Source organism: Homo sapiens, chromosome X (assembly GCF_000001405.40).
Source record: "Homo sapiens chromosome X, GRCh38.p14 Primary Assembly".
NCBI classification, from domain to species: Eukaryota; Metazoa; Chordata; class Mammalia; order Primates; family Hominidae; genus Homo; species Homo sapiens.
This window is the reverse complement of record NC_000023.11, coordinates 9,341,582-9,353,890: the sequence shown is the minus strand read 5'-3', so window position 1 is coordinate 9,353,890 and position 12,309 is coordinate 9,341,582. Positions and strand designations below refer to the sequence as shown.

General features: G+C 47.1%; 4 annotated features.

The window, feature by feature from the left end:
- Nucleotides 258-1,457: an enhancer, noted in NCBI's record as "MED14-independent group 3 enhancer chrX:9320474-9321673 (GRCh37/hg19 assembly coordinates)". NCBI's record gives its function as "activates an origin of replication core promoter dependent on BRD2, BRD4, P300/CBP and CDK7 cofactors, and independent of MED14, by STARR-seq in HCT116 cells {active_cell/tissue: HCT116}" and the evidence as "EXISTENCE:reporter gene assay evidence [ECO:0000049][PMID:35650434]".
- Nucleotides 990-1,099: an enhancer, noted in NCBI's record as "active region_29400". NCBI's record gives its function as "activates an Ori minimal core promoter by ATAC-STARR-seq in GM12878 lymphoblastoid cells {active_cell/tissue: GM12878}" and the evidence as "EXISTENCE:reporter gene assay evidence [ECO:0000049][PMID:35858748]".
- Nucleotides 1,120-1,179: an enhancer, noted in NCBI's record as "active region_29399". NCBI's record gives its function as "activates an Ori minimal core promoter by ATAC-STARR-seq in GM12878 lymphoblastoid cells {active_cell/tissue: GM12878}" and the evidence as "EXISTENCE:reporter gene assay evidence [ECO:0000049][PMID:35858748]".
- Nucleotides 11,832-11,891: an enhancer, noted in NCBI's record as "active region_29398". NCBI's record gives its function as "activates an Ori minimal core promoter by ATAC-STARR-seq in GM12878 lymphoblastoid cells {active_cell/tissue: GM12878}" and the evidence as "EXISTENCE:reporter gene assay evidence [ECO:0000049][PMID:35858748]".

Genomic DNA, 12,309 nt, shown 5'->3' with positions numbered 1-12,309 from the left:
GTTAGTTGGTGTGACTGGGTCCTTTCTTTTTTCTTTTCTTTTCTTTCTTTCTTTCTTTTTCTTTTTTTTGAGATAGAGTCTCACTCTGTCACCCAGGCTGGAGTGCAGTGGCGCCATCTTGGCTCACTGCAACCTCTGTCTCCTGGGGTCAAGTGATTCTCCTGCCTCAACCTCCCAAGTAGCTGGGATTACAGGTGCGTGCCACCATGCCCGGCTAATTTTTGTATTTTTTAGTAGAGACAGGGTTTCACCATGTTGGCCAGGCTGGTCTCAAACTCCTGACCTCAAGTGATCCGGCCGCCTTGGCCTCTCAAAGTGCTGGGATTACAGGTGTGAGCCACTGTGCCAGGCCATGACTGGGTCCTTTCATGCTGCTCTTTCCATTTCTTTGCAGTCCTGGAAGCAGGCTACTTTGGGCAGCTGTCCTTGGCTGCTGCTCCCCTGCACCTTAGGATCCTTATGAAAAGCGACTCTATGCAAAGAGACACGCAGCTAATGCGTGCTGTAGGGTGAGTGGAGAGCCTGGGGGGCTGGGCTACAAAAACCTATGCAACCCAAGCCCGATCTGCCTGACCTTGAATTGGTTTACCACATGTCTCTCTCTTACCAGGCAAATCTCCAAGGAGTCTTTCACTTTGGACAGTACATCCCCAAATCAAAGACTGATTCATAAAAAGAACTGATGAAATGTTGCCTTTTGCTCAGGCACCCTATCACACATGTTTTTCCGGAGTCCCTTGCCATTTCTTCCTTGCTGACTCAGAGTAATGATGGAGAACAAAAAGCCAGGAGGATAGAAAAAAGGAAAGCTGCGCTATCCAGAGAGTCTGGGGAAAGAGCCAAGCTTTTCTCCCCAACCCGCATCTTTTTGGTTGTTGTTTCAAAGAACTTGCTTTGCCCCATTCAAGCTGCAGGGAAATCTCTTTTGCTAGAGGGTGCAATCAAAGCCGGTGGGGCATCTCCATGCAGTGTGTAGGTCACAAAATAGCTCTGAGGACATTGAAGGCCTGTGGGACGTTGCACAATGACATACTGGACCCGTTAGACACGCAGTGGGTTTCGCTTCCTGTACATTTCTCCGAAAAACCTGCCGAGTCATCGACAGTTATCACCACCTTGCAGAATTTACGAAAGCTTCTAAGCAGTCATCTGAATAGTTTCTTTTGCTTCTAGGGCTCCTTGTACTCCTGTAATTTAAAATTTGTTTAAATAATAAAACCAACACACAATCTGGGGCAAAATTAAAATTCCAGGGAAGGCAGGCCAGGTTTTGCTGGATGGGATCCTTCAAGAAATGTGCAGATAAAACAAGGACCAGCAGCTCCTTTTCCTGAGTCTCCTGAAGCGAACAAGTCATTGTTAGGTGCATGGCTTGATAAAGAGAAGTGACAAGAAGATGGTATTTTAGACACTGAGAAATGAAAGCAAGTGTGCGTCGTGTCTAATGCAAATTACTGCTGCCCCTAGAAAAGAAAGGTGTGTGTGACCATAACGAAAGGAATAAGTTTAAAAAAAATTTGCCAAGTTAGCAGATTTCTGTCTCAAGAATGTAACAAAAACCATTTTTTTATGTTGAGGATTTTTTAAAGTTAAAAACAAGTCATCTCCTAAGAAAAGATAAGAATGTGATTCCTGAGCTGAGGGTATTTGCATTTTGAATTTTTGTTCCTACCTTTCAAGTAGGAATTGTGCCAAGAAAGCATAAACACAGAGAAGGAAATGGGTGTTTGTATTTGTAATACCTGCCTCAGGAGAGGAGAGAAGCCAAGAAGAAAGGGTGTGTGATTAACTCCTGAGCGCACTTGGAACCCAATGCGGCCAGAGATGTGAGTTGTGGGCCAGCAGGTGGATCCCTGTGGCCGCAAAATTTTGCTGTGCGACTGCTTGCATCAGTGGTGTTGTGGACGCCTTTAGGCAAGGTGTGTCTGTGGCTTGCTGGTATTTCAGCCAAGGAATGTGTCAGAGTAAGTTCAGCAGCCACAACAAGAGAGGATGTGTAGTGTTTCTGGGAGGGGCTTGTGTTGTTCTCAATTTCCGGGTACAAGGCTGGGTGCAGTGGCTCACGCCTGTAATCCCAACACTTTGGGAGGCCGAGGCGGGCGGATCACCTGAAGTCAGGGGTTCGAGACCAGCCTGACCAACATGGAGAAACCCCATCTCTACTAAAAATACAAAATTAGCCAGGCGTGGTGGCGCATGCTTGTAATCCCAGCTCCTCGGGAGGCTGAGGCAGGAGAATCGCTTGAACGTGGGAGGTGGAGGTCACGGTGAGCCGAGATCGCGCCACTGCACTCTAGCCTGGGCAACAAGAGCGAAACTCTGTCTCAAAAAAAAAAAAAAAAAAAAAAACTCCGAGGACAGAGTGATGTTAGACCAGACAGTGGGTCTCAAACTGTGGGTGTGTTTCAGCCACCTGTGATGCGTGTTACAAAGGCAGTCACCTAAGATCTCACCCTGGAGCTGGGATCCATGGAGCTGGGCAGGTTGAGGTGGTTCCAAGTTCAGTACAGGTGGTTCAAGGTCCCTACTCTGAGAAACTGACATCAAATGAAAGAAGACAAGTTTAGCGTGACAGTCCTTTATCTTCACACCTCATAATTGGCAAGCCACACTGCTTAGCCACATTCAAAGTCACTGGCAAGTGATTTTATTTTATTTTCAAGCGTGGGACAACTTAATTTTGTGAAATGTATATTTTTTGGTCATAGCATAAGCTACCACTCCTCAGTTCTTTTTGGCTGTTTTACAAACCAGTCAGGAAATGTATGGCAAAAACAGCAAAAGGAAAGTCGATTTTAAAAATGTACGATGCATGTTTTCGTTGTATAGACATTAATAATGAAAACAAAAGGAAAATTTTGGCTCTCGAGAAAAATGGAAGTGCCTAAAACGTTAATTTTTTTTCTTTTTTTCCAAATACCCAGACGTCAAGGAGACTAAAATGTAAATTTTAACCTAAAAGTATGAATGTTTTGGGTAGCTGGTTATAGTATCATCCTTGTGATTTGGAAAACATTCTAATGTAACCTTTCCCTGATTATATAGAGATTAGCTAGTATTTTATGTGTAAGCAGGGCCAGCTTTGCTGCCTTGTGACAGTTCAGTCCCACATGGACTGGTTTAATGTTCTGCAACCTCCATATTGCAATGCCTCATCATGTTGTCTTTGAGTTTGTATTTTGAAAGCGACGGTCTGACAGGACAGTGGAGCATGAGCCCAGGGCTTGGAGGTGCCACCTCCCTGCCTCCCAGGATGGACTCTCTGTGCTCCACTTCCCTGCCCCCATCCAATGATGTGGCTACTCTCTGCCTTCTGGCAGGCGCGGAGAGGTTCAGGTCAGCAGGCATGTGCCCCACCTGCCAAGTCGTGGGTGGGACCCCGGGAGCCTGTGAGAGTCCACATTGGCCCTCCGAGTATCCCTATGCCCAAAGAGGTGCTGCATTAAGAGTAAAAAGCAAAAGCCAGGCGCAGGAGTGTGTGCCTCTAGTTCCAGCTACTTGGGAGGCTGAGGCGGGAGGATTGCTTGAGCCCAGGATGTCAAGCCTGCAGTGACCTATGATTGTGTCATTGTATTCTAGCCTGGGCCACAAAGCAAGAACCTGTCTCTAACAATAATAAGAATAAGTGAAAAAACACCATGACAGGTCCAGAACGACTGGGGAGGAGGGAAGGAAAAATCTTTCTTTTCTGCTTTTGAACAAAGGACCCCAAATTTACATTTTGCACTGCGCCCCACAAATCATGCAGCTGGTCCCATGTGTAAGTCATATATGAACACATCGCTCCACTGCAGGATAATGGATGCAGGTCCAAGAAAGGGGAAAAGGATGACTCATTCCCCCACAAACAATTCACAGGGAAAGCATTCAGATGGCCAATTGCTCACCTAACATAGTTTATAATTCCTAACATAGTTCTATAAATGTTGCAGATTACATTTTAAAAACCCGTGGATGCTCTGTTTATTTTTTAAAAATAGTTATGCATTATTTGTTTCCCCAGTGCAGCTCTGTGCAGTGACAAGCAGTTGGATGGAATCATGCGCAACAGCTCTCTGTAATGTAGAAGTGACACACTGTCCCCAAACTGCCATGTCTTGTTCCTCATAGGCAGGCTACTCTCCAGGTGTTTGAAGGGACAACTTCAGCAAGGGGAGAGATCCCATGATTCCCCCAAAGACAGGAACGTGTAGTGAGAAGGCAGAATGGCACTCAGGAGGTGCCCCAGGGACTGGTCGGCAGCCAGCAGCGGGAACAAGGACTGGCCAGATCCCTGGTCTTTGCTAATTTCATTGAGCTCATTACCATGCTCTGCTGTGAATGGAATCGTGTCTTTTTTCCAGTTAGTCTTACGATGGGTCTTCTTCTTCTTTTTTTTTAAATTTAGAAATGTTTTATTTCCTTGCAGAACTCAGTGTACCAATGGATCTTCTAAAGCAGTTATCCATGTAACCTCAGTGAAGAGGTATGGTTCTTTCTCCCACCTCAACAAAACACAGCACACTTGGTATTACATAATTGGTTGGAAAATATTTTGACAATATATATATGTATTTTCATGTAGTTAAAAATCAGCAAAGCAGAAATACATTTCTGTATACTCTTAAGTCAGTGATTCTCAACTGGGGGCAATTTTGCTCCTCCCATCCCAGGGGACATTTGGCAATGTCTGGAGACAATTTTGGTTGTCACAATGCGGGGCGCGCCTGGCATCCAGTGATGGAGACCAGGGATGTTGCCAAACATCTTACAGTGCACAGAGCAGCCCCCTACAACAGAATTATCCAGTCCCAAATGCCAGTGGTGCCAGGATTGACTTACATAAACGATTCTATTTTTAGAAGTGTTATTCAGTTCCATTCCCCAGCAATAATCTAGCATTATTTCTTCCCCAGGAGAAGCTTCCATGAACCAGAATTCAGAATATTAACTTATAGGAGCATGCCTCCCAAAAGGCGATTGTGGGTTTGTCTCTATCATAAAATACAGAGGAATGTGCAGTCTGAGAATGTTCACAATGGGAGCAAAGTGGAGGCATGCAGCCCTGCCTTGGGAGTGTTGGAAGGAGTGTATCACGAAGCTCCAACCTTGCCAGTACAAAAAGGCAAAAAAATTGAAAGCTGCCAGGCAGCTTTCAAGAATTTGGATGTGCAGGCCACACCCCAGACCAATGAAACCCCAGTCTCTGCCAGTGGGACCTGGGTGGTGGGAGTGTTTGAAGCTCCCAGAGTGCCCCCAATGTGGGGCCAGACTGGAGCATCACAGGACACATGGTTTAGATGTGGGGTAAGCGGGATTAGCTGTGCAGGAGGCAGTGACCAAGGGATAGGACCAACACCGCTCCACATAAGCTAAGGCAACTGACGCCTGTGCAAATCCACTGCAAATCAGCCCTCATTTAAATAATAACTGTACAGTCAGAGACTGTGGCTGGGATCCAAAGTTGGCTGGGGTCTACATGGCACACATGGGATTAATAACATCAAGCATGGAGATATTGGTGAGAAGGGGGAAGGAGAGGCAGGAACAAGCTCTCTTTTATTCATTACTGAGAATTCTCCTTCCAACTTATTTTAGAGTTAACTACAAGATCTGTTTAGTCAATGAAGTGACTGGAGCGTTTTCTTTTCTTTTTTTTTGTTTATTTTTTGAGACAGGGTCTCACTCTATCCCCCAGGCTGGAGTGCAATGGTGTGGTCTCAGCTCACTGCAACCTCTGCCTCCTGGGCTCAAGCGATCCTCCTGCCTCAGCCTCCCGAGTAGCTGGGACTACAGGCACCTGATACCATGCATGCCTGGCTAATTTTTTTTTTTTTTTTTTTTTGAGGCAGAGTCTCGCTCTATTGCCCAGGCTGAGTGCAGTGGCGCCATCTTGGCTCACGGCAACCTCCGCCTTCTGTGTTCAAGTGATTCTCCTGCCTCAGCCCCCTGAGTAGCTGGGATTACAGGCGTCAGGACCGCCATGACGCCTGGCTAATTTTTGTATTTTTAGTAGAGATGGGGTTTCACTATGTTGCCCAGGCTGGTCTTGAACTCTTGAGCTCGAGCAATCTGCCTGCCTTGGCCTCCCATAGTGCTGGGATTGTAGGGGTGAGCCACTGCACCAGGCCGAGACTGAGGCTTTTCTGTAGTTGAGACGACAGTTTCTCCATGTCAGCACCGTGAACATTTGGGACTGGAGCATGCTCTGTGGTGGGGCCGTCCTGTGCACGGTAGGGGGTTGACCAGCATTCCTGGCCTCCACCCATGGGATGTCAGGAGCACCCCCCGCACCTGTTTGAGACAACTCAAAAAGTCTGCAGACATTGCCTAATATCCCTTGTGGGGTAAAATCCCTGCTGGCTGAGGGCCACTGGTCTAGACCAAAGCTTTTTAAATTGCTGAGGTGCGTATCTCAAAAATTAGTTGGTTGTGCATTCAGTTGAGTGGGTAGTGACTAGCACTGAAAGCATGAAATGGAAGTGGATAGCCCAGAAAATTATAGAATGAGCCCATGGCAAGGGGAAGGATAAGTTCATGAGCATCATGTCACATTTTGGTCACATATATGTGTATGTGGGTCTTGTGTTTCTGTGTGAAATGTACTTCTTACTGTGGATGGGAGTTTCCTGGGGGAGAAGGAACCACCAAACAGCTCACGCTAGTCAGATGAGGTTAGTTCAAGGAGAGCCTAAGGAGGCCGGGCTTAACCTCATACATCGCCAGTGACATAAATGGATGGATTGGTATTATTATTATTATTATTTTATTATTTATTATTATTTATATATATTTATATATAATTATATATATAATAATTATATATTTATTATTATTATTATATTTATTATTATTATTTTAAAGACAGAGTCTTGCTGGGTCTCCCAGGCTGGAGTTCAGTGACGCCATCTCAGCTCACTGCAACTTCCACCTCCCTGGTTCAAGGGATTCTCCTGCCTCAGCCTCCCGAGTAGCTGGGATTACAGGCATGTGCCACCACGCCCAGCTAATTTTTGTATTTTTAGTAGGGACAGGGTTTTGCTATGTTAGCCAGGCTGGTCTCAAACTCCTGGCCTCAAGAGATCCGCCTGCCTCAGCCTCCTAAAGTGCTGGGATTATAGGCGTGAGCCACCGTGCCCAGCAATTTATGGATGATTTTGTATGGCATATGGGAAAGGCAGCGAAACACCATGGCAAAGATGATCTGGTGCAGAGTGTCTTGGGAACCAGCAGGAAGGCAGAAAAGGCTGGAAGGACTGAGCTCAAGTGCATTCCCAAAGCAACGAGGGCTTAGACCCAAGTAGGAAAGCAGAGAAATGGTCTTGAAGAAAAAGCCAGGATTTGTCACAGATTTGCTCTAGCACATGCTAGCTTTAGAGTGGCCTATCCTGAAGGTATTTTGCCTTTAATAGGTCTATAATAGGGGCCTTTTTTCACTTGGAGACAGTGCCTGCAAAAATGATCTGTTACACTATAACTTTTTATTGTGTTTTTTTTTTAAGAGACAAGGGTCTTGCCGTGTTGTCTGGGCTAGTCTCGAACTCCTGAGCTCAAGCGATCTACCTGCCTCGGCAGCCCCAAGTGCTAGCATTACAGGAGTAATCCACTGTACCCGGCCAACGCTATAACATTTTTAAACTTGAGAGTTAATCAAACTCTAGAAGAGTTTCTTGAGATACAATTTACATAGCGTAAAATTCACCCATTGTAACTGCATAATTCATTGTTTTGTTTTTAGTAATTTACAGAGTTGTGCAATCCTGATGGTAATCTAATTTTAGAACATTTCCATCACCCCAAAAAGAAACCTGGCGCAGGCTGGGCTCAGTGGCTCCTGCCTGTAATTCCAGCACTTTGGGAGGCTGAAGCGAGGGGATCGTTTGAGTCCAGGAGTTTGAGACCAGCCTGGGCAATGTGGAGAAACCCCATCTCTACAAAAATACAAATATTAGCCAGGTGTGGTGGTGTGCCCCTGTGGTCCCAGCTATTAGCGAGGCTGAGGTAGGAGGATCAATTGAGCCTGTGAAGTTGAGGCTGCAGTGGGCTGTGATTGAGCCACTGCGCGCCAGCCTGGGCAACAGAGCAAGGACCCGTCTCAAAAAAGAAAAAAAGAAAAGAAAGAAAGAAACCTTGTGCCCACTGGCAGTCTCTTCCCATCCTTCTCCTCCCCTCACCAGCAACAACCACTGTTCTACTTTCTGTCTCTAGCCTGTTCTGGACATTTCTTATAAAATAAATCATACGATATGTAGCCTTTTTGCATCTTGGCATAGTGTTTTCAAGGTTCAACCACGTTTTGGCATTTCAGAACTTCATTTCTTTTTATGGCTGAATAACATCCATTGTATGGATAGAGCACATTTTGTATATCCACGTATCCATTGATGGGCATTTGGATTGTTTCCACTTTTTGGCTCTCATGGGTGATACTGCTGTGAGCTTTCATCTAGGAATCTGTGGATGCATGTTTTCATTTCTCTTGGGTAGACAGATATGGTTGATCACATTGTAACATTGATATGATTGATTAAATTATTGATTATTGATTAAAAGAACTGAAGGTCCACTATGCGAACCAGCATTCTGAAGATACCAGAATGGCTCTGGAGTTAATTCTTTCTTACTAAAGAAATGGAAGTCAAGGGGTGATGATTTGTGGAAGGCAAGGCTGTGTATTGTTCTCAAATTTCTTCTTTTTATGTTCAATATTCAATATTCCTCATCAAGTTGTGTGATGAACACAAAAAGAGAGGTTCCTTCAAGCCAACCACCAATCTCCTGGGGGACTCTTCATAAACTCAGGCCATGAGCTTTGAGGCCTGTGAAGTTCATCATTAACACGTGACTGTTTTCTTTCACTGTGATGCCAAAAATCATGTCCCACATTGAGATTTGTGCCTTTCATTTTGGCCTGACACGGTGGCTCACACCCTTAATCCCAGCCCTTTGGGAGCCCGAGGTCGGTGGATCATGAGACCATCCTGGCCTTCATAGTGAAACCCCGTCTCAACTAAAAATACAAAAATTAGCTCGGCGTGGTGGCGCGTGCCTGTAGTCCCAGCTACTCGGGAGACTGAGGCAGGAGAATCCCTTGAACCAGGGAGTTGGAGGTTCAAGGGAGCAGTGAACTGAGATGGCGCCACTGCACTCCAGCCTGGTGACAGAGCGAGACTCCATCTCAAAGAAGGAAAAAAAAATGTCACTCAGGGCCGGGTGTCCTGGTTCACGCCTGTAATTCTAGCACTTTGGGAGGCCGAGGCGGGCGGATCACTTGAGGTCAGGAATTCAAGACCAGCCTGGCTAACATGGTGAAACACCATCTCTACTAAAAATACAAAAATTAGCTGGGCATGGTGGTGGGCACCTGTAATCTCAGCTACTCAGGAGGCTGAGGCAGTAGAATTGCCTGAACCTGGAAGGTGGAGGTTGCAGTGAGCTGAGATCGTGCCACTGCACTCCAGCCTGGGGAATAGAGCGAGTCTCCATCTCAAAAATAAGAAAAAATAAAATCCACCATCTTGCTGAAATGCACATATGTATATATATCAACATGCAAAACACTCTAGTAGAGAATATAACAGAAGGGAACATTTCCACTCCCCACCGCCAATATTTAGGCTTTGCAGGACATCCCCAGAATGTGGCGGGCAGTGCTTTGGGAGAGAGGGCTCCTCCCGAGGCTCTGGGATATTAGGATATTGGCGATGCCCCCCCCCCAGACACCTGGAGCACCCCCTACTGTCCTGTTTTGCTCACCCTCTTTTCTTTTCTTTCTTTTTTTTTTTTTTGTTGAGATAGGGTCTCGCTTTGTCACCCAGGCGTGAGCACAGTGGCACGATCATGACTTACTGCAGCCTCAACCTCCCAGGCTCAAGCAATCCTCCCACCTCAGCTTCCCAAGTAGCTGTCACCCTCTTTTCTGACATAAGGTCTAACTAAGGTCAAGAATCAGCTTTAGGCTTGGAAACTTGGCCAATGTTTTCTGCCTTTAACTCTAGAAAGTTTCAGACAGGAATTCCAAACAACCCCAGTGCAGGCAATGGCAACAGACGGACCCATGGTGCAGAGGAAACTGTATTCATTTCTTGCACTGAAGCTAGTGAAGAAAAAGGTGACTTATGTGACTACACAATGGGGAATAACTTAGGATACCGTCCTTAAATGTTAAACAAGAGGAATACTGTGCAAGAGGGATATGGTTACTACATTCTGGCATATACAATTCCACGCGGTGGAATTTAAGCCCTCATTTAAAGTATAATTTTGAAAAATATTTAGTGACCTAGAAAAATATTTATTTTTTAATACTAGGTAACCAAATCGGAATGCTGAACTATTTATACAGAGTGAGCCCGATTTTATTATTTACCTCACCTCCATCCTCAACTCCCATTTTTGGATGGGAAAATTCTTCCACACAGAGGAAAACGACAGGCACGTCGTGAATGCAAACGTCAACGTTGGTTTTCTCTGGGAATTTTTATTTTCTTGGACAGAAAAGTGGCTACACTTTGTTTTTTATTAGGAAGAGAAGCCGCTTTAACATCTAAGTAGTGAAGCCACAGCGAAGTGAAGAAGCCCCTTCACCCATCAGATGGCTTAAGAACGTCATCCTGGCGTCTTCCAAAACTCCTCGAATCCCCTCCTGCCGTGATGACACAGAATCAGAGGCTTCCAGGGGTACGCTTAGGGGGCATCTGATGCGCAGGTGCACACGGCAGCTACTGAGCCCCAACTCTGGAGTGTTCTTACTCAGGGATTTAATTATAGGACGGGGTCGTCAGGAGCAGGTCTCCCACTGCCCTGCAGGAACCCTTTTTGACCTTCAGTAGAGACAGAGCCCTAAAACTTTGGGCCTGATTTTCCCTTCCCCAACTCCTCCTCGTGCCCTTCCCAGGCACTTCCTCACCCCCAGAGACTCCCTTCTTTACCTCTGTCCCCAAGTCCCTCTCCACCCAGGCCTTCTCAAGGGCTCCCCCGCAGCAGGACCCCTCTGCCGTCCCCTTTCCTGTTTCAGAGTGTCGCGGCGTTCTGGGAACCACAGCACCCCCCAACAGCCCTGAGATCCCCGGGGGAGGACCCGGTGAACCTGAGCCGTGTTTTGGGAGCACAGGGAGACACCCGCGCGGGCGGCCGGCGGCGTGGGGGCGGGGCGCTGCGAGTGCGCAGCTCTTCTAAGGTCCTCGGTAATTCTTTCCCAGTCCACGTAGGGCGCTGGCACAGACCGGCCCCGAGTCTGATCCTGGGGGAGGGGAGGAGAAGAGAGGGGAGGGGAGGGGAGGAGGCTGGAAGACTAAGAGGGAGGAGGGAGGCTGTGGCCTAAACTCCAATGCAGGGAGAGGAGGCTAGGAGGGGGGAGGGAGGGACAGAGAGGGGATGAAAAGCAGAGGAGGAGGGGGAAGGGGAGGAGAAGGAGGAGAGAGGGGTGCAAAACGGAGGAGGAGGGGGGAGGAGGGAGGGGGTGAAAAGCAGAGAAGGATGGGGAGGGGAGAGGTGGAGGGGAGAAGGAGGGGGAGGGTAAAAAGCAGAGGGGGAGGGGAGGAAGAGGGAGGGGTGAAAGCAGAGGGGGAGGGAAGGAGGGAGGGGGTGAAAGCAGCGGGGGAGGGGGAGGGGAGGTGGGAAGGAGCAGGGGGAGGGTAAAAAGCAGAGGGGGAGGGGAGGAGGAGGGAGGGGGTGAAAAGCAGAGGGGGAGGGGAGGAGGAGGGAGGGGGATGGGAGGTGAGGGAGGGAGGACAAGGGGAAGTGAAAAAGGGAGGAGGGGGAGGGGAAGTGAAAGAGGGAGAAGCGGGAGGGGAAGTGAAAGAGGGAGGAGGGGGAGGGGCGCCACCCAGCCTCTTTCCGGAGGAGACTCATTTAGATGCAATGGCCAATTTTTTTTTTTTTAAACCAGACTGTATAAATTTACAGTTTCCTTTTCAGCTGAAGCAGACAATGTTAAAACACATTAGATTTTCTGTTTCGGAATGCAAATTAAACATAGGCAAGCTCTTGGAAGGCTTCATTGAGGGCTTGAGAAAATAGGAGATTGAAAACGTCGATGCTTGAGTAAGGCAAGAGATTTTAGCCTTGCAGCAATGTGGTCGTGTGTGTGTTTACTTAAAAAGAGAAAATTGCTTAATAATAAAACGGCCCTAGTCTTCCTTGAACATAACAGGAAGCACTGCTTAAAAAAACATTTATTTCTTTTTTTTTTTACAGCCACCATTTATTTGTCGGTGCACAGGGAGGGGGTGCCGTTGAGGCAGGGTTGGGGTAGTCACCCAGGCACTCCCCAAAGCCTGCTCACCCGGCCCCTCCAACCCCAAGGAGTGGAATCTAGAAGCAGCCCCT